The sequence below is a fragment of the Homo sapiens genome, chromosome 19, assembly GCF_000001405.40.
Source record: "Homo sapiens chromosome 19, GRCh38.p14 Primary Assembly".
Taxonomy (NCBI): Eukaryota; Metazoa; Chordata; class Mammalia; order Primates; family Hominidae; genus Homo; species Homo sapiens.
This window is the reverse complement of record NC_000019.10, coordinates 23,080,751-23,099,180: the sequence shown is the minus strand read 5'-3', so window position 1 is coordinate 23,099,180 and position 18,430 is coordinate 23,080,751. Positions and strand designations below refer to the sequence as shown.

Here is an 18,430-nt window from a genome sequence, read left to right as displayed (position 1 = left end):
GTGGCCAGATGTTCACATATGATATCACAATTTTAACTATGGACTGCATCTGCACATGAGAATCATGAACTCCTCCGTGGGTTCTGTCCCTGTGTGATAGTGGTAATTCTAAAAATTGACAGTGTGCTTACAAGAAACATGATCTAATCTGTTTGCTTTTTCCTATGACGACACTCTCTGTACCATCTGAGGGCTTTATACAATATGCGAGAGTATTAATTCTCTATAACCTTCATACAGAGAGGAGACCCAGGATTTTACCCCTTTTTCTAAGCCTAGCTGTGAGAGACAGTATCTCTTCTATTGGCTGGTACAAAGTATTAGAGTCATCATCACACCTGTGAGCTGGGCTAAGCTATACGTTACCAACCTACTTGTTGACAGAAAGTACCCAGAACCGTCACATCACCTGGATGCTGGGCAAATGATATGTAAAATTTTCCCTGACGGCACTGATCAGGCAGGAGAGTCATATCACCTGAGTTCTCAACCAATGGTATGTTACCATTTCTTCCTAAAAATAATGCACACGTAGGAGAGACACATCACCTGGTGGCTGGACCCTGCACTATGTCACAATCTTTCCTGTAAGCAGGGGACAGGTAGAAATGGAGTCACATTTTTTATGTAATAGATGCAGATATATGTCACAAGAACCCCTGTGGACAGGGCTGAGGCAGGGCCTCCCATCGTTTAGGTGTTTGGCACAGTGAAATGTCACAATACCAAAAATGTGGTTCTCAGGCAGAGCAGAAAAGTCACATTACCTAAGTGCTGGTTCCAGTGATATGTCACAATCTTTCCTTTTGGCAGGATCTGGGAAGAAGAGGATTCACATAACCTAGGTGATGAAGAAAAATATATGTCCTAATATGCCCATGAGCAGGGCCTATGTGCTAGAGTTGCATCAGCTATATGTTGAATGCAGTGCTATGTCAAAATATACAATTTATGCAGGGCTCAGGCAGGAGAGAGTATCATAACCTAGGTGTCAGTCCCAGTGATACATTGCAATACCTTCTTTTTTTTTTTTTCTTGAGACAGAGTCTCACTCTGTCACCCAGGCTGAAGTGCAATGGAATGATCTTGGCTCACCACAACCTCCACTTCTTGGGTTCAAGTGATTCTCCTGTCTCAGCCTCCCAAGTAGCCAGGACTACAGGGGCACACTATCATACCCGGCTATTTTTTTCTTTGTATTTTTGGTAGAGACAGCGTTTTGCCATGTTGGCCAGGCTGGTCTTAGACTCCAGACCTCAGGTGACCCACCTGCCTTGACCTCCCAAAGTGCTGAAATTACAGGCATGAGCCACCACACCTGGCCCACAATACCTCCTTGACAGAGTCCAAGCGGTGGAGAAGAGTCATATCACCTATGTGCTGAGTCAAGCAATATGTCACAGAAACCATAACCTAGGGGCTGGGTAAAACTATATGACACAATCATCCCCGTGGAAAGGGCCCAGGCAAAAGAAGAGAGTCACATAATCTAGGTGCTGGTCCCAGAGATCTTTCACAATCTCTACTATGGGAAAAACCCAGGTAAGAAAGGAGAGCTTTATCAAATAGTTGATGGGCCAAGACATGTCACAATGCCCCAAGTAGGCAGGGTGTAGGCAGGAGACAAATTACATTGGTGCTGGGCACTGCAATATGTCACAATGCCTTTTGAAGGCGGGGCCAGGCCAAATAACCTTGGTGTTGGGCCCAGCAATATTTCAGTTTTCTTCCGGGCAGGATGTATGAAGACGAGAAGAGTTACATCAGCTCGGTATGAAATCAGCAATATATATCATTATCCCCCAGCAAGCAGACACCAGGCAGGTGAAAAGATTCACCTCACCTGGGTGATGGACACAGAGATATGTCACAATGTCCCCTGTGACAGCGTCCAGGCAGGAGAAGCACATGACCTTGATGTTGGCCAAGTAATGTGTCACAATGCCTTCTGAGGGCAAACAGTAGGCCAAAGAGTAACATCATTGTTACTGTTGCTGTTGGGCCCAGTGATATGTGACAATACTTTTTGTGTGAAGAAACTAGGCAGGAGAAGAAAGTCAGGAGAAGAGTTAAATCTCCTAGACTATGGATGCAGAGATATGTCAATGAGGCACTCTATGTGCTGGGCCCAGGGAGGAGCCACATATCCCATAGGCATTGGACTCAATGATATGTTACTATACCCAGAATATGCCAGAACCGGGAAAATAAAAGGGTCATATCACCTAGGTGATGAAAAAGATGTCATAACACTTTTGTGGACAGTTCCCATGCCATAAAGTCACATTTCCTAGGTGCTAAATCCAGGCATATGTCACAATACACACTGTACGCAGGGCTTAGGCAGAACAGAATAATCACAATACATAGGTGGTGAGTCCAGCAACACATCACAGCCCTGCTTGGCCAAAGCCCAATCCATAGAGCAGAGTCACATCACCTATGTACTGGGTTCAGCAATATGTCACAGTACCCCTTGTGGGGAGGGCCCATGCAAAAGGGTCACATCACCTAAATGATGGGCTCAAAATATGTCAAAATGCCTTCTGTGGGTAGGGCTCAGAAAAAAAAGAATCGCATGACCTAGGGGCTGCGCCCAGCTATATGTAACAAACACCCCAGTTGGCAGGGCCGATGCATGAGAGAAGAGTCACATCACCTAGGTGCTGGGCTCAGTGATGTGTAACAATACTTTTTTGGGAGGGCCCAGGCAGAAGAGGAGTGTCACACCACCTAGGTGATTAATAGAAAGATATCTTATAATACCCCTATGGGTGGGGGCCCATGTAGGAGAGTTGCATTACCTAGGTGCTGGAGCCAGTGATATGTGTCAATAAGCAATGTATGCAGGTCCCAGGCTGGAGAGGAGTCACCTCACCTAGGTTCTTGATAGAGTGGTATGTCACAATCCCTTTTTAGGCAGAAACCAAACAGTACAGTAGAGTTACATCACCTAGATGCTGGGCCCAGCAATGTCACGGTACCTTGAGAAGAGGGCCCAAACAAAGAGTCATTTCACCTAATTGAGGGTCTCACAGATATGACACAATGCTACCTGTAGGTAGGGCTCAGGAAGAAGTGTGGAGTCACATAATCTTGGAGCTGGGGCCAACTACATGTCAAAATCACCCCAGTGGCCCAGGTGTAAGAAGAGAGTCGTATCTTGTAGGTGCTTGGCCAAAAAGTGTCATACTCTCCACTGTGGACAGGTCCCAGGAAAAAGACAGTCACAATCTCAGTGATGGGCCAAGATATATGTCACAATGACTTCTGTGAGTGGAGGAAAATCACATCATGTGTATGCTAAACTCAGTAATAAGTCACTCTCTCTCCTGTAGGCAAAGCACAGGCAGAAGAGGACAGTCAAATCACCTCAGTGCTGGGTGCAAAGTATGTCACAATCTCTTTTTGGGCAACATCCAGGTAAGAGAGGAGAGTCACATAAAATAGTCAAAGGGCCCAGAGGTATGTCACAATGCACCTTGTAGGCAGGATCCAGGCAGGAGACTCACATCACATTGGCTCTGGGCCCAGCAATACACCACCACGGCTTCTGAGGGCAGTGCCAAAACTAAAGAATGATGTCATCTTAGTATTAGGCCCAGTGACATGTCACAATGTCCTCTGAGGGCAGAATCTAGAAAGAGGGGGAGAGTCATGTGAGCTAGGTGCTTAGCCCAGTGATATGTTACAATCTCTTCTGTGAGAAGGGGCCAGGTAGGAGAATAGAGTTGCATTACCTGTGTGATGGGTTCAGGGATACATCACAAAGTCCTCCATAGGCAGGACCTAGGCAGTAGAGCTACATCAACCAGTTGTTGGACCCAGCAATATGTCACAATGGCCCACATGGACAGGGCACACGCAGGAGAGTCACATAACGTACGTGTGAGGCCCAACGATATTACACAATGTCCCCTGTGGAAGAACCAAGGCAGAAGATTCACACCACCTGGGTACAAGACCCAGTGATATGTCACTATGTCCTCTGTGGGCAGTGTCAAGGCAGTAAGATAGTCACATTACCTCAGTGCTGGGTCCAGTGATATGTCACAATCCCTTCTGTGAGTTGGGCCCAGGCAGGAGCATCAAATCCCTCTGGTGCTGGGTAAAATCATATGTCATAATCGCACCAGCAGGATGTTCAGGGATGAGATTATGCATCTGAACTGGAAAGAGTCAACACATCAAAAATATAACCAGATGAGGCACGGTGGCTCATGCCTGTAATCCCAGCACTTTGGGAGGCCAAATCGGGAGGATAGATGGAGCCAAGGAGTTTGATACGATACTGGGGGCAACATTGTGAGACATCTCTAATGAAAAATGACAAAGTTAAAAGAGTAATATATATAACCAAAGCCTGGACAACATAGTGAGACCACATCTCTACTAAAAAAATAGATAGGCCGGGCTCCTTGGCTCACGACTGTAATCCCAGCACTCTGGGAGGCCGAGGTGGGTGGATCACCTGAGGTCAGGAGTTCGAGATCAGCCTGGTCAACATGTTGAAACCCCATTTCTACTAAAAATACAAAAGTTAGCTGGGTGTGGTGGCACACGCCTGTAATCCCAGATACTTGGGAGGCTGAGGATGGAGAATTGCTTGAACCCAGGAAGCGGTGGTTGCAGTGACTGGAGATGGTGCCCAGCCTGGGTGACAAGAGTGAAATTCCATCTCAAAATAAATAAATAAATAAATGAAAACTTATTTATTTTCTACCTACCTACCTACCACCTACCTACCTACCTATCTATAGAGTGCCCACAGATAGATAGACAGATAGACAGATAGATAGATAGATAGATAGATAGATAGATAGAGCCAGGCATGGTGGCTCACACCTGTAATTCCAGCACTTTGGGAGCCAAAGCCTGATTTAAAAAAAAAAAAGAAAAGAAAAAATCTAAAATAACAGGAACTTCAGTATGCAGGAAGGAGCATAACAGAGAGAAAAGAAAGAAAAAAAAAACAGCAATTCAATGTACTGTGGAAACAAACTTGAAGTGGGCCTAGGGAAAAAAACAAAACAAAACAAAACAGAAAGATCCCCAGAGCCGCAGCCACTTGGGAGACCAAAATGGGAGGATCGCCTCGGTAAGCCTGGGAAGATGGAGGTAGCAGTGAGCCACAATCGCACCCTCTGCTGGATCTAAGCAGTTCTGACCCCGGCGAGAGCCCTCTGGTCCACCTGAAACACTTCAAGCTGGTGGCCAAGTCCTACACTCTTGGCAAACATCTGGTGGACCTGGCAGACAGAAGGAAAAGCCAACTGGCAGAGGCACAGCGGGTCCACCCTACAGGCCAAGGGAGGCGCTCGTGGCCTGAAGCTGTTCCTCTGGTATCTAAGTTGCCAACCTTCCTTCCCACCATGCCCCTGACCCCGTCTGTTGATCAACCGTAGGTGGTGGAAAGAGGAGGAAGGGCTCAAGTGCAGGGACTGCCCCTTAGTGACCACCCTACCCCTGGGGTGGGAGAGGGCTGGGACCAAGACGGCTACCTCTGGGCCCTCAGGGCCTTACCTGGGATGGAGCCTGCTGGGCCACATCCCCAGACACCAGTGCCTCAGCCATCCACACCAGGCTCCCCCAGCCCTGTCCCAGCCCGGGGATCAAGCTGCCACCACCCCCACCCCCAAGAATGAGGGGGGGAAGCAGGAACCAGAGGGGCGGGATGCCAAGCAGGGGTACCCCCTAACCCACAGCAGGGGCACCCACCATGCAGCATGCCGTCCCTTCCGGCAATTAGAAAGCCCACAGGCAAACCCCTTCCGGGCCCTCAGAAGATGACACAGGATGGTCCCTGAGTCCCCATGGGAAGAAAGATTCACAGTTGAATTCCACCAGATGTAAAAAGAAGAGCTGGTACAGTTTCTACTGAAATTCTTTCAAAAAATTAACGACAGGCTGGGCGCAGTGGCTCATGCCTGTAATCCTAGCACTTTGGGAGGCCAAGGCGAGTGGATCACCTGAGATCAGGAGTTCGAGAACAGCCTGGCTAACAGGGCGAAGTCCTGTATCTACTAAAAATACAAAATTAGCTGGGCCTAGTGGCGTGTGCCTGTAAGAGGCTGAGGCAGAAGAATCACTTGAACCCGGGAGGCGGAGGTTACAGTGAGCTGAAATCACACCATTCCACTCCAGCCTGGGTGACAAGAGTTTTGTTTTGTCTCAAAAAAACAAAAACAAAAACAAAAAAACAATTGAGGAGAAGGGACTTCTCCCTAACTCATTCTATGAGGCCAGGACAATCTTCACACCAAAACCCAACAGAGTACAACAAAAAAAGAAAGCTTCAGGTAAGTATCTTTGATGAACAGTGATGCAAAAAATTTCAACAAAATACTGGCAAACCAAATTCAGCAGCAAATGAAAAAACTTATCCACCAGAATCAGGTAGGCTTCATCTCTGAAATGCAAGGTTGGTTGAACATACTGAAATTAAGAAATATTATTCAGGCCAGCTGTGGTGGCTCACACATGCAATCCCAGCACTTTGGGAGGCCGAGGTGGGCGGATCATCTGAAGTCAGGAGTTTGAGACCAGCCTGGCCAACATGGTGAAACCCCATCTGTTTTTTATTTTTATTTTTTTGAGATGGAGTTTTGCTCTTGCCCAGGCTGGAGTGCAATGGTGCAATCTTGGCTCACCGCAACCTCTGCCTCCTGGGTTCAAGTGATTCTCCTGTTTCAGCCTCCCAAGTAGCTGGGATTATAGGCATGCACCACCATGCCCAGCTAATTTTTTTAAGAGAGATGGGGCTTCTCCATGTTCATCAGGCTGGTCTCGAACTCCCAACCTCAGGTGATTCGCCTGCCTCGGCCTCCCAAAGTGCTGGGATTACAGGCAAGAGCCACAGCACCTGGCCACCAACCCCATTTATATTAATCTGTTTTCATGCTGTTGATAAAGACATACCTGAGACTGAGAAGAAAAAGGTTTAATTGGACTTACAGTTCCACATGGCTAGGGAGGCATCAGAATCATGGTGGGAGGCAAAAGGCCCTTCTTATATCACAGCAGCAAGAGAAAATGAGAAAGAAGCAAAACTGGAAACCCCTGATAAGCCCATCAGATCTTGAGAGAGATATTCACTATCACGAGAATAGCATGGGAAAGAACAGCCCTCATGATTCAATTACATTCCCCTGGGTCACTCCCACAAAACACGGGACTTCTGGGATACACAACTCAAGTTGAGATTTGAATGGGGACACATCCAAAGAATATCATTCTGCCCCTGGCCCCTCCAAATCTCATGTCCTCACATTTCAAATCCAATCATGCTTCCCCAACAGATCCCCAAAGTCTTAACTCATTTCAGCATTAACCCAAAAGTCCACAGTCCAAAGTCTCATCTGAGACAAGGCAAGTCCCTTCTGCCTATGAGTCTGTAAAATCAAAAGCAAGCTAGTTACTTCCTAGATACAATAGGGGTACAGGCATTGGGTAAATATAGCCATTCCAAATGAGATAAATTGGACAAAATAAAGGGGTTACAGGGACCATGCAAGTCCAAAATCCAGCGAGGCAGTCAAATTTTAAAGCTCCAAAATGATCTCCTTTGACTCCAAGTCTCAGATCCAGGTCACGCTGATGCAAAAGGTGGGTTCCCATGATCCGGAACAGCTCCACCCCTGTGGCTTTGCAGGGAACAGCTTCCCTCCCAGTTGCTTTCACTGGCTGGCATTGAGTGTCTGCAGCTTTTCCAGGTGCACAGTGCAAGCTGTGGGTGAATCTACCATTCTGGGGTCTGGCGGATGGTGGCCTTCTTCTCACAGCTCCACTAGGCTGTACCCCAGTAGGGACTGTGTGGGGGCTCTGACCCCACATTTCCCTTCCACACTGCCCTAGCAGAGGTTCTCCATGAGGGCTCCACCCCTGCAGCAAACTTCTGCCCGGATATCCACGTGTTGCCATACATTTTCTGAAATCTAGGTGGAGGTTCCTAAACCTCAATTCTTGACTTCTGTGCACCCACAGCCTCAACACCACATGGAAGCTACCAAGGCTTGAGGCTTCCACCCTCTGAAGCCACAGCCAAAGCTGTACATTGGCCCCTTTCAGCCATGGCTAGAGTAGCTGGGACACAGGACACCAAGTCCTTAGGCTGCACACAGCATGGGGACCCTGGGCCCCGGGCCACAAAACCACTTTTTCTTTTTCTTTTTTTTTTTTTTGAGACGAAGTCTTGCTCTTGTCACCCAGGATGGAGTGCAATGGCATGATCTTGGCTCACTGCAACCTCCACCGCCTCCTGGGTTCAAGTAATTCTCCTGCCTCAGCCTCCTGAGTAGCTGAAATTACAGGCACCTGCCACCATGCCTGGCTAGTTTTTGTATTTTTAGTAGAGATGGGGTTTCACCATATTGGCCAGGCTGGTCTCAAACTCCTGACTTCAGGTGATCCACCCACCTCAGCCTCCCAAAGTGCTGGGATTACAGGCATGAGCCACCATGCCTAGCAAAACCACTTTTTCTTCCTGGGCCTCTGGGCCTGTGATGGGAGGAGCTGCTGTGAAAATCTCTGACATGGCCTAGAGATGTTTTCCCCATGGTCTTGGGGATTAACATTAGGCTCCTTGCTACTTATGCAAATTTCTGTAGCCAGCTTGAATTTCTCCTCAAAAAATGGGGTTTTCTTTTCTATTGCATCATCAGGCTGCAAATTTTCTGAACTTTTATGTTCTGTTTCCCTTTTAAAACAGAGTGCTTTTAAAAGTACCCAAGTCACCTCTTGAATGCTTTTCTGCTTAGAAATTTCTTCCACCAGATACCTTAAATCATCTCTCTCAAGCTCAAAGTTCCACAAATCTCTAGGGCAGGGCAAAATGCCACCAGTCACTTTGCTAAAACATAAGGCTCACCTTTGCTTCGGTTCCAAGTTTCTCATCTCCATCTGAGACCACCTCAGCTGGGATTTTTTTTTTTTTCTTTGAGATGGAGTCTCATTTTGTTGCCAGGCTAGAGTACAGTGGTACAATCTTGGCTCACAGCAACCTCCGCCTCTCGGGTTCAAACAATTCTCCTGCCTCGGCCTCCCAAGTGGCTGGGACTACAGGCATGCGCCACCACACCCAGCTGATTTTTGTATTTTTAGTAGAGACAGGGTTTCACCATGTTGGCCAGGATAGTCTTGATCTCTTGACCTCGTGGTCTGCCCTCCTCAGCCTCTCAAAGTGCTGGGATTACAGGCATGAGCCACTGTGCCCAGCCCTCTCAGCTGGAATCTTATTGTTCATATCACTATCAGCATTTTTTTCAAAGCCATTCAATACATTTTTAGGAGGTTCCAAACTTTCCCACATTTTCCTGTCTTCTTCTGAGCCCTCCAAACTGTTCCAACCTTTGCCTGTTACTCAGTTCCAAAATCGCTTCCACATTTTCGGTTATTTTTTTTCAGCAAGGCCCCAGTCTACTGGTACCAATTTACTGTATTAGTCTGTTTTCACACTGCTGATAAAGACATAACCAGGACGGGGAAGAAAAAGCGGTTTAATTGGACTTACAATTCCACATGGCTGGGGAGGCATCAGAAACATGGCAGTAGCCAAAAGGCACTTCTTACATCACAGCAGCAAGAGAAAATGAGAAAGAAGCAAAGCAGAAACCACTAATAAACCCATCATATCTTGTGAGACTTATTCAATATCACGAGAATACTACAGGAAAAAAACAGACCCCACGATTCAATAATCTCCCCCCGGTCCCTCCCATAACACATGGGAATTCTGGGAAACACAATTCAAATTGAGATCTGAATGGAGACTCAATCAAACAATATCACTGTCTCTACTAAAAATACAAAAATTAGCAGGGCATGGAGGCGCCCACCTGTAGTCCCAGCTACTTGGGACTGAGGCAGGAGAATTGCTTGAACCTAGGAGACAAAGGTTGCCAGAAGCCGAGATCACACCACTACACTCCAGCCTGGGAGACAGAAAAAAATAAATAGGAAAAAAGAAATACGATGCATCATATAACAGAACTAAAGACAAAAACCACATAATCAGCCAGGCGCGGTGGCTCACGCCTGTAAGCCCAACACTTGGGAGGTCGAGCCAGGTGGATCGCCTGAGGTCGAGAGTTCGAGACCAGCCTGACCAACATGGAGAAACCCCCTCTCTACTAAAAATACAAAATTAGCCAGGCAAGGTGGCACATGCCTGTAATCCCAGCTACTCGAGAGGCTGAGGAAGAAGAATCACTTGAACCCGGGAGGTGGAGGTTGTGGTGAGCCGAGATCGCACCACTGCACTCCAGCCTGGGCAACAAGAGAGAAACTCCATCTCAAAAACCAACCAACCCACCAACCAACCAACAAACAAAAAGGAACAAAACCACATGATCATTTCAATAGATGCATAAAAAACTTTCAATACACTTCAACATCCATTCATGTTAAAAACTCTCAATACGCTGGGCATGGTGGCTCACACCTGTAATCCCAGCACTTTGGGAAGCTGAGGTAGGCAGATCACTTGAGGTCAGGAGTTCAAGACCAGCCTGGCCAACATGGTGAAAACCCATCTCTACTAAAAATACAAAAAATTAGCCAGGCGTGGTAGCACACGCCTGTAGTCCCAGCTACTCGGGAGGCTGAGGTGGGAGAATCTCTTGAGCCCAGTAGGTGGAGGCTGCACTGAGATCATGCCATTGCACTCCAGCCTAGGTGCTGGAGAGACAGAGTGAGACACCATCTGGAGAAAAACAAAAAACAAACAAACAAAAAAACCCCTCTCAATAAACAAGGTATTGAAAAAATATATCTCAAAATACTAAAAGACATCTATGACAAACCCACAGCCAACATTATACTGAATGGGCAAAAACTGGAAACATTCTCGTTGAAAACTAAAACTAGGCTGGGTGCGTGGCTCACACCTGTAATCCCACCACTTTGGGAGGCCAAGGCGGGCAGATCACCTGAGGTCAGGTGTTCAAGACCAGCCTGGCCAACATGGTGAAACCACATCTCTACTAAAAATACAAAAATTAGCCAGGCGTGGTGGTGGGCACCTGTAATCCCAGCTGCTCGGGAGGCTGAGGCAGGGAGAATTGCTTGAACCCGGGAGGCGGAGGTTCCAGTGAGCCAAGATCGCACCACTGCACTCCAGCCTGGGTGATAGGGTGAGACTCCCTCTCAAAAAACCAAACAAACAAAAACTAAAACTAGACAAGGATGCCCTCTTTCATCACTCCTATTCAACATAATATTGGAACTTCTGGTCCGGGTAACAAGAAAAGAGAAAGAAATAAAGGGCATCTAGGCTGAGTGTGGTGGCTCACACCTGTAATCCCAGCACTTTGGGAGGCCGAGGTGGTGGATCACCTCAGGTTGGGAGTTCGAAACCAGCCTGACCAAGATGAAGAAACCTGTCTCTACTAAAAATACAAAATTAGCCAGGCGTGGTGGCGCATGCCTGTAATCCCAGCTACTTGGGAGGCTGAGGCAGGAGAATTGCTTGAGCCTCAGAGGTGGAGGCTGCAGTGAGCCAAGATCATGCCATTGCACTCCAGCCTGAGCAACAAGAGCAAACTCCGTCTCAAAAAAAAAAAAAAAGCAAGAAAAGACAAGAAAAATAAAGGGCATTCAAATAGAAAAAGAGGAAATCAAACTATTCCTGTTTGCAGATAACATAATCTTATATCGAGAATATGCCATAATCTCAGCCCATAAGCTCCTTAAGCTGATAAACAACTTTGGCAAACTCTCAGAATACAAAATCAATGTGCAAAAATTACTAGCATTTCTTTTTTTCTTTTTTTTCTTTGAGACGGAATCTTGCTCTGTCTCCCAGGCTGGAGTGCAGTGGTGCGATCTCGACTCACTGCAACCTCTGCCTCCCGGGTTCAAGCAATTCTCCTGCTTCAGCCTTCTGAGTACCTGGGATTACAGGCACCCGCCACCATGCCTGGCTAATTTTTGTAATTTTAGTAGAGACAAGATTTCACCATGTTGGCCAGGCTGGTCTCGAACACCTGATCTCAGGTGATCCAACTGCCTGGGCCTCCCAAAGTGCTGGGATTATAGGCATGAGCCACTGCACCCAGCCAAAAATTACTAGCATTTTTTTACATTAATGACAGTCAAGCTGAGAGCCAAATCACGAACAAACTCACATTCACAGTTGCCACAAAAAAGATAAAATGCCTAGGAATACAGCTAACAAGGGAGGTGAAAGATCTCTACAAGGAGAACTACAAACCACTGCTCAAAGGTATCAGAAATGACACAAATGGAAAAACTTTCCATGCTTATGAATAATAAGAATCCATATCACTAAAATGGCCATACTGCCCAAAGCAATTTATAGATTCGATGCTTTTCCCATTAAACAAGCATTGACATTCTCACAGAATTAGAAAAAAATTATTTTAAAATTCATATGAAACTTTCCAAAAAACACCCTGAATAGGCATGACAATCCTAAACACAAATAATAGCAAAGCTGGAGGCATCACACTACCCGACTTTCAACTATACTACAGGGCTCCAGAAACTAAAACAGCATGGTACTGGTACAAGAACAGAAACAGACCAATGGAACAGAATAGAGGGCCAGAAATTAAGCTGCACACCTACAACCATCTGACCTTTGACAAAGCTGACAAAAGCAATGAGCAAAGAATTTTCTCTTCAATAAATAAACTGGCTAGCCATTTGCAGAAAATTAAAACTTGATCCTTTCCTTACACCCTATACAAAAACTAACTCAAGATGGATTACAAACTTAAATGAAAAACCCAAAACTATAAAAACCCTGAAAGACAACCTAGGTAACATGATTCAGGACATAGGCACAGGCAAAGACTTCATTACAAAGATGCCAAAGCAATCACAATAAATAAATAAATAAGTAAAATCTAATTAAACTAAAGAGCTTCTGCAAAGCAAAAGAAACTATGAACAGAGTAAACAGAACCTACGGTATGGGAGAAAATTTTTGCAAACTATGCATCCGTCAAAGGTCTAATATCCAGCAGCTAGAAGAAACAAATTTACAAGACATAAACAACTCCATTAAAAATTGGGTGGGGCCGGGCAAGGCGGCTCACGCCTGTAATCACAGCACTTTGGGAGGCCAAGGCGGGTGGATCATGAGGTCAGGAATTCCAGACCAGCCTGGCCACGACGGTGAAACCCCGTCTCTATTAAAAATACAAAAATTAGCTGGACATGGTGGCAGGCGCCTGTAATCCCAACTACTCAGGAGGCTGAAGCAGAGAATTGCTTGAACCTGGGAGGCGGAGGCTGCAGTGAGCCGAGATCGTGCCACCGCACTCCAGCCTGGGTGACAGAGCGAGACTCCATCTCAAAAAAAAAAAAAAAAAAAAAAAAAAAGAAAAAAAAATTGGGTGAAATAGGTCTGGGTGCGGTGGCTCACATCAGTAATCATCACTTTTGGAGACAAAGGCGGGTGGACCACCTGAGGTCAGCAGTTCGAGACTAGCCTGGTCAACATGGTGAAACCCTATCTCTACTAAAAATACAAAAAAATAATTAGCCAAACTTGGTGGTGGGAGCCTGTAATCCCATCTACTAGAGAGGCAGAGGCAGGAGAATCGCTTCAATCTGGGAGGTGGAAGTTGCAGCCAAGATCATGCCACCGCACTCCAGCCTCGGTGACAGAGCAAGACTCTGTCTATATTTAAAAAAAAAAAAAAAAAAAAAAAAAAAAAAAGACGGGCATGGTGGCTCATGCCTGTAATCCCAGCACTTTGGGAGGCTGAGGAGGGCGGATCATTTGAGGTCAGGAGTTCGAGAACAGCCTGACCAACATGGTGAAACCCTGTCTCTACTTAAAAAAAAAGAAAAAAAGCAAAAAAAGATGGGTAAAGGACATGATCCTTTAAAAAGAAAAAAAACAAACAAAGGTGGGTAAAGGACACGAACCTTTAAAAGGACATGAGCCTTTAAAAAGAAGACTTATGTGTGATCAAAATCATCTGAAAGAAAGCTCAACATCACCGATTAGAGAAATGCAAATCAAAACCACAATGAGATACCATCTCACCTTAGTCAGAATGGCTATTTTAAAAAAGCAAAATAATAACAGATGCTGACGAGGTTGTGGAGGAAAAGAAATGCTTATACTCTGTTGGTGGGAGTGTAAATTTGTTCAGCTAAGGTTGAAGACAGTGTGGTGATTTTTTAAAGACCTAAAGACAGAAATAACATTTGACCAGTAATTTCATTACTGGGTATATAGCTAAAAGAATATAAATTCTTCTATTATAAACACACATTCACGTGTATGTTCACTGCAGCACTATTCACCATAGCAAAGACATGAAATCAACTGAAATGTCCATTAATGATAGACTGGATAAAGAAAAATGTGGTACATATACACCATGAAATACTATGCAGCCATAAAAAAGAATGAGATCATGTCCTTTGCAGGCATGTGGACAGAGCTGGAGGCCATTATCCCTAGCAAACTAACACAGGAATAGAAAACCAAATACTGCATGTTCTCATTTATAAGTGGGAGGTAAATAATGAGAACACATGGACACACAGAGGGGAACAGCACACACTGGGGCCTTTCAGAGGGTGGAAGGTTGGAGGAGGAAAAGGATCAGGAAAAATAACTAATGGGTACTTAGGCTTAATCTTTACAACAAACCCATATGACACATGTTTACCAGTGCAACAAACGTACACTTGTACCCCTGAACTTAAGTTTTTTTAAAAGACCTATTTGTACGTTTTAAAGAAGAATCGGCCAGTATTTTCAAAGATGGTTTTGTTTCTAAAATGTAATCTGCCACTTGTCTAGGAAATACTTTTTATACATTTTTTTTAAAAGCGCAAAGCTGAAGGCATCACAATATCTGACTTCAAAATTTGCTACATGGCTATTATAACCAAAACAGCATTGTACTCACATAAAAACAAACACATAGATCAATGTGCCCAATAAGCTCAGAAACAAATCTATGCACCTAAAGCCAACTAGTTTTTAACAATGGTATTGAGAACACACTTTGGGGAAAAGACAATCTCTTCAACAAATGGCAGGGAAAATCAAATATCCATACACAGAATAATATAACCAGATCCCTACCCCTCATTATATACAAAAATCAACTCAAGATGAATTAAAGACTCAAATGTAATACCACAAACTATGAAACTATTAAACAGAAACATAGAAAAAATGTTTTAAAACATTAGACTGGGAAATAATTTTTTAAAATAAGACTTCAAAAGCATAGGAAACAAAAGCAAAAATGAGCTAATGAGATTACATCAAGCTAAAATGCTTTTGCATATAAAAGGAAACAACTATGAGGGTGAAGAGGCAATCTAAAAAATGAAGGAAAATAATGTACAAACTATACATATGACAAGGAATTAATATTCAAAATTATTTTAAAAACTGTGAAATTCTAAAATAAAACACAATCTATTAAAAATATGTAGATCTTAACAGGTATTATCAAAAAAACATATGAATGGCTAACAGGTACATAAAAAGATGCTCAACATAAACTAATCACCAGGTAAATGCAAACCCAAACTACAATAATATACAACCTAACGCTATTAGAATGGCTATACTTAAAAAAAAAAAAACAAGCACTAATGAGGATGTAATAAAGAGGAAACACATACACACTGTTGGCGGGAGTGTAAATATTTATGTCCATTATAGAAAATAGTATGGAGGTTCCTCGAATAATTAAAAATAGAGCTACTATATGACCCAGTAATGTTACTACTGGGTATGTATCTTCTTTCTTTCTTTGAGATGGAGTCTCGCTGTGTCCCTCAGGCTGGAGTGAAGTGGCACAATCTCGGCTCACTGCAACCTCCCCCTCCCCGGTTCAAGCGGTTCTCCTGCCTCAGCCTCCCGAGTAGCTGGGACTACAGGCATGTGCCACCATGCCTGGCTAATTTTTGTATTTTCAGTAGAGGCAGGTTGTCACCGTATTGGCTGGGCTGGTCTCGAACTCCTGACCTCGTGATCAGCCGGCCTCAGCCTCCCAAAGTGCTGGAATTACAGATGTGAGCCACCGGGCTCAGCCACTACTGCCTATATATCTAAAAAAAAGAAAATCCATATTTCAAAAAGATATCTGCATTCCCGTGTTTATTGCAGCACTATTTATAAAAGCTAAGATACAGAATCAATTCAAATGTATAGCAACAGATAAATGAATAAAGAAAAAAGGCCGGGTCCGGTGGCTCACACCTGTAATCCCAGCACTTTCGAAGCCTGAGGTGGGCAGATGACCTGACGTCAGGAGTTCGAGACCAGCCTGACCAACGTGCAGAAACCCCGTCCCCTAAAAACACAAAATTAGTTGGGCATGGTGGCACATGCCTGTAATCCCGGCTACTTGGGAAGCTGATGCAGGAGAATCACCTGAACCCAAGAGGCAGAGATTGCGGTGAGCCGAGATCACGCCATTGCACTCCAGCCTGGGTAACAAGAGCGAGATTTTGTCTCAAAAAAAAAATGAAAAAAGAAAATGTGGTATACATACACAATACAATACTACTTAGCTATTAAAAAAAATTATGCCAGGCGCTGTGGCTCACGCCTGTAATCCCAACACTTTGGGAGGCTGAGGCGGGTGGACTGCCTGAGCTCAGAAGTTTGCAACCAGCCTGGGCAACATGGTGAAACCCTGTCTCTACTGAAATACAAAAAATTAGCTGGGCATGGAGGCGGGCGCCTGTAATCCTAGCTACTCGGGAGGCTGAGGCAGGAGAATTGCTTGAACCTGGGAGGCAGAGGTTGCAGTGAGCCAAGATCGTACCATTGCACTCCAGCCTGGGCAACAGAGCAAGACTCCATCTCAAAAAAAAAAAAAATTCTGCTATTTGCAACAACATGGGTGGACCAAGAGGATATCATGTTAAGTGAAATGTCATACACAGAAAGACAAATACTTCATGATCTCATAATTTTACTCATACGAGGACTCTGAAAAAAAGGGTTTATAGAAGCAAAGAATACAACAGGTGTCACCAGAGACTAAAGTGGGAGGATGGGAAGAGGTTACTTAACAAATATTAAGTTACAATTAAAGAAGAAGAGTAAGTTCTGGTTTTCTATTACACAGTAGGATGACAATGATGAATAAAAAAGTGTTGCATATTACAAAATAGTTAGCAAAGTCCAGGTGTGGTGGCACATGACTGTAATTCCTACAGTGTGAAAGACTGAGACAAGAGAATTACTTGAAGTCAGAAGTTCAAGACCAGCCTGAACAACATGAGACCTCATCTCTACAAAAAATAAATAGACATGGCATGGTGGCATATTTTTGTAGCCCCAGCTACTAGGGAAGCTGAGGTGGAAAGATAGTCTGCGAGTTTGGGGTTACAGTGAGCTATCATTGCTCCACTGCACTCCAGTCTGGGTGACAGAACAAGAGTCTGTCTATAAACAAATAAATAAAAGATAAGGCTGGGTGTGTTGGCTCAAGACTGAAATCCCAGCACTTTGGGAGGCCGAGGTGGGTGAATCACTTGAACCCAGAAATTCAAGTCCAGTCTGGCCAACATGGCAAAATCCCATCTCCACTGAAAATACAAAAATTAGCCAGGTGCAGTGGCTCACACCTGTAGTCCCAGCACTTTGAGAAGCCGAGGCGGGTGGATCACCTGGGGTCAGGAATTTGAGACCAGCCTGGCCAACATGGTGAAACCCCATCTCTACTAAAACTACAAAGATCAGGTGGGCGTGGTGGCTCACGCCTGTAATCCCAGCTACTCAGAAGGCTGAGGCAGGAGAATCGCTTGAACCCGGGAGGCGGAGGTTGCAGTAAGCTAAGATAGCACCATTGCACTCCAGCCTGGGCGACTGAGAGAGACTACATCTCAAAAAAAGAAAAACAAAAAACAAAAATTAGCTGGGAGTGGTGGCAAATGCCTGTAATCCAAGCTGCTCAGGAGGTTCAGGCACGAGAATCACTTGAACCCAGGAGGCAGAGTTTGCAGCAAGCCGAGATCACACTACTGCCCTCCAGCCTCTGCAACAAAGTGAGACCCTCAAAAAAAAAAAGAAAAAAAGAGGTCTAGTATGGTGGCTCACGCCTGTAATCCCAGCACTTTGGGAGGCAGAGGCGGCTGGATCACCTGAGGTCGGGAGTTCGAGAGCAGTCTGGCCAACATGGCGAAACACTGTATCTACGAAAAATTCAAAACTTAGCCAGGAGTGGTGGCGTGCACCTGTAATCCCAGCTACTTGGGAGGCAGAGGCAGGAGAATCGCTAGAACCTGGGAGGCAGAGATTGCAGTAAACCGAGATTGTGCCACTGCACTCTAGCCTGGGCGACAGAGCAAGACTCCATCTCAAAAAAAAAAAAAAAAGAAAAGAAAAAAGAAACAAAACAGAAAAAAAGAAATGAACTAAGGCTTTAACATAAAATCTATAACTGTAAAACTCCTAGAACAATACAGAAGGGGG

General features: G+C 44.9%; 1 protein-coding gene across 14 annotated transcripts in view, besides 1 other annotated feature; it reads right to left on the bottom strand.

Moving 5' to 3' along the window:
* Positions 1–18,430, bottom strand: part of ZNF730 (zinc finger protein 730) — a 72,011-nt gene that overhangs the window by 48,041 nt on the left and 5,540 nt on the right. For 3 of the 14 annotated variants that reach the window (XR_001753568.2, XR_007066501.1, XM_047437998.1), the window contains exons 2-5: positions 4,027–4,169; positions 3,741–3,918; positions 3,513–3,637; positions 768–841 (exon numbers count right to left, since the gene is read on the bottom strand). The exons of 1 other annotated variant lie outside the window; for it this stretch is intronic. The gene's annotated coding sequence lies outside the window, so the exon portion shown is untranslated. Of the gene's footprint in view, positions 1–767; positions 842–2,804; positions 3,638–3,740; positions 6,504–18,430 lie in introns of those variants that run through there. 10 more of the 14 variants (XR_001753564.2, XR_001753566.3, XR_001753565.2 and 7 more) reach the window with 8 other exon arrangements.
* Positions 4,939–5,438: an enhancer, noted in NCBI's record as "H3K4me1 hESC enhancer chr19:23276545-23277044 (GRCh37/hg19 assembly coordinates)". NCBI's record gives its function as "activates a minimal SCP1, AML or CMV promoter by ChIP-STARR-seq in naive H9 embryonic stem cells {active_cell/tissue: H9 hESC(naive)}" and the evidence as "EXISTENCE:reporter gene assay evidence [ECO:0000049][PMID:30033119]".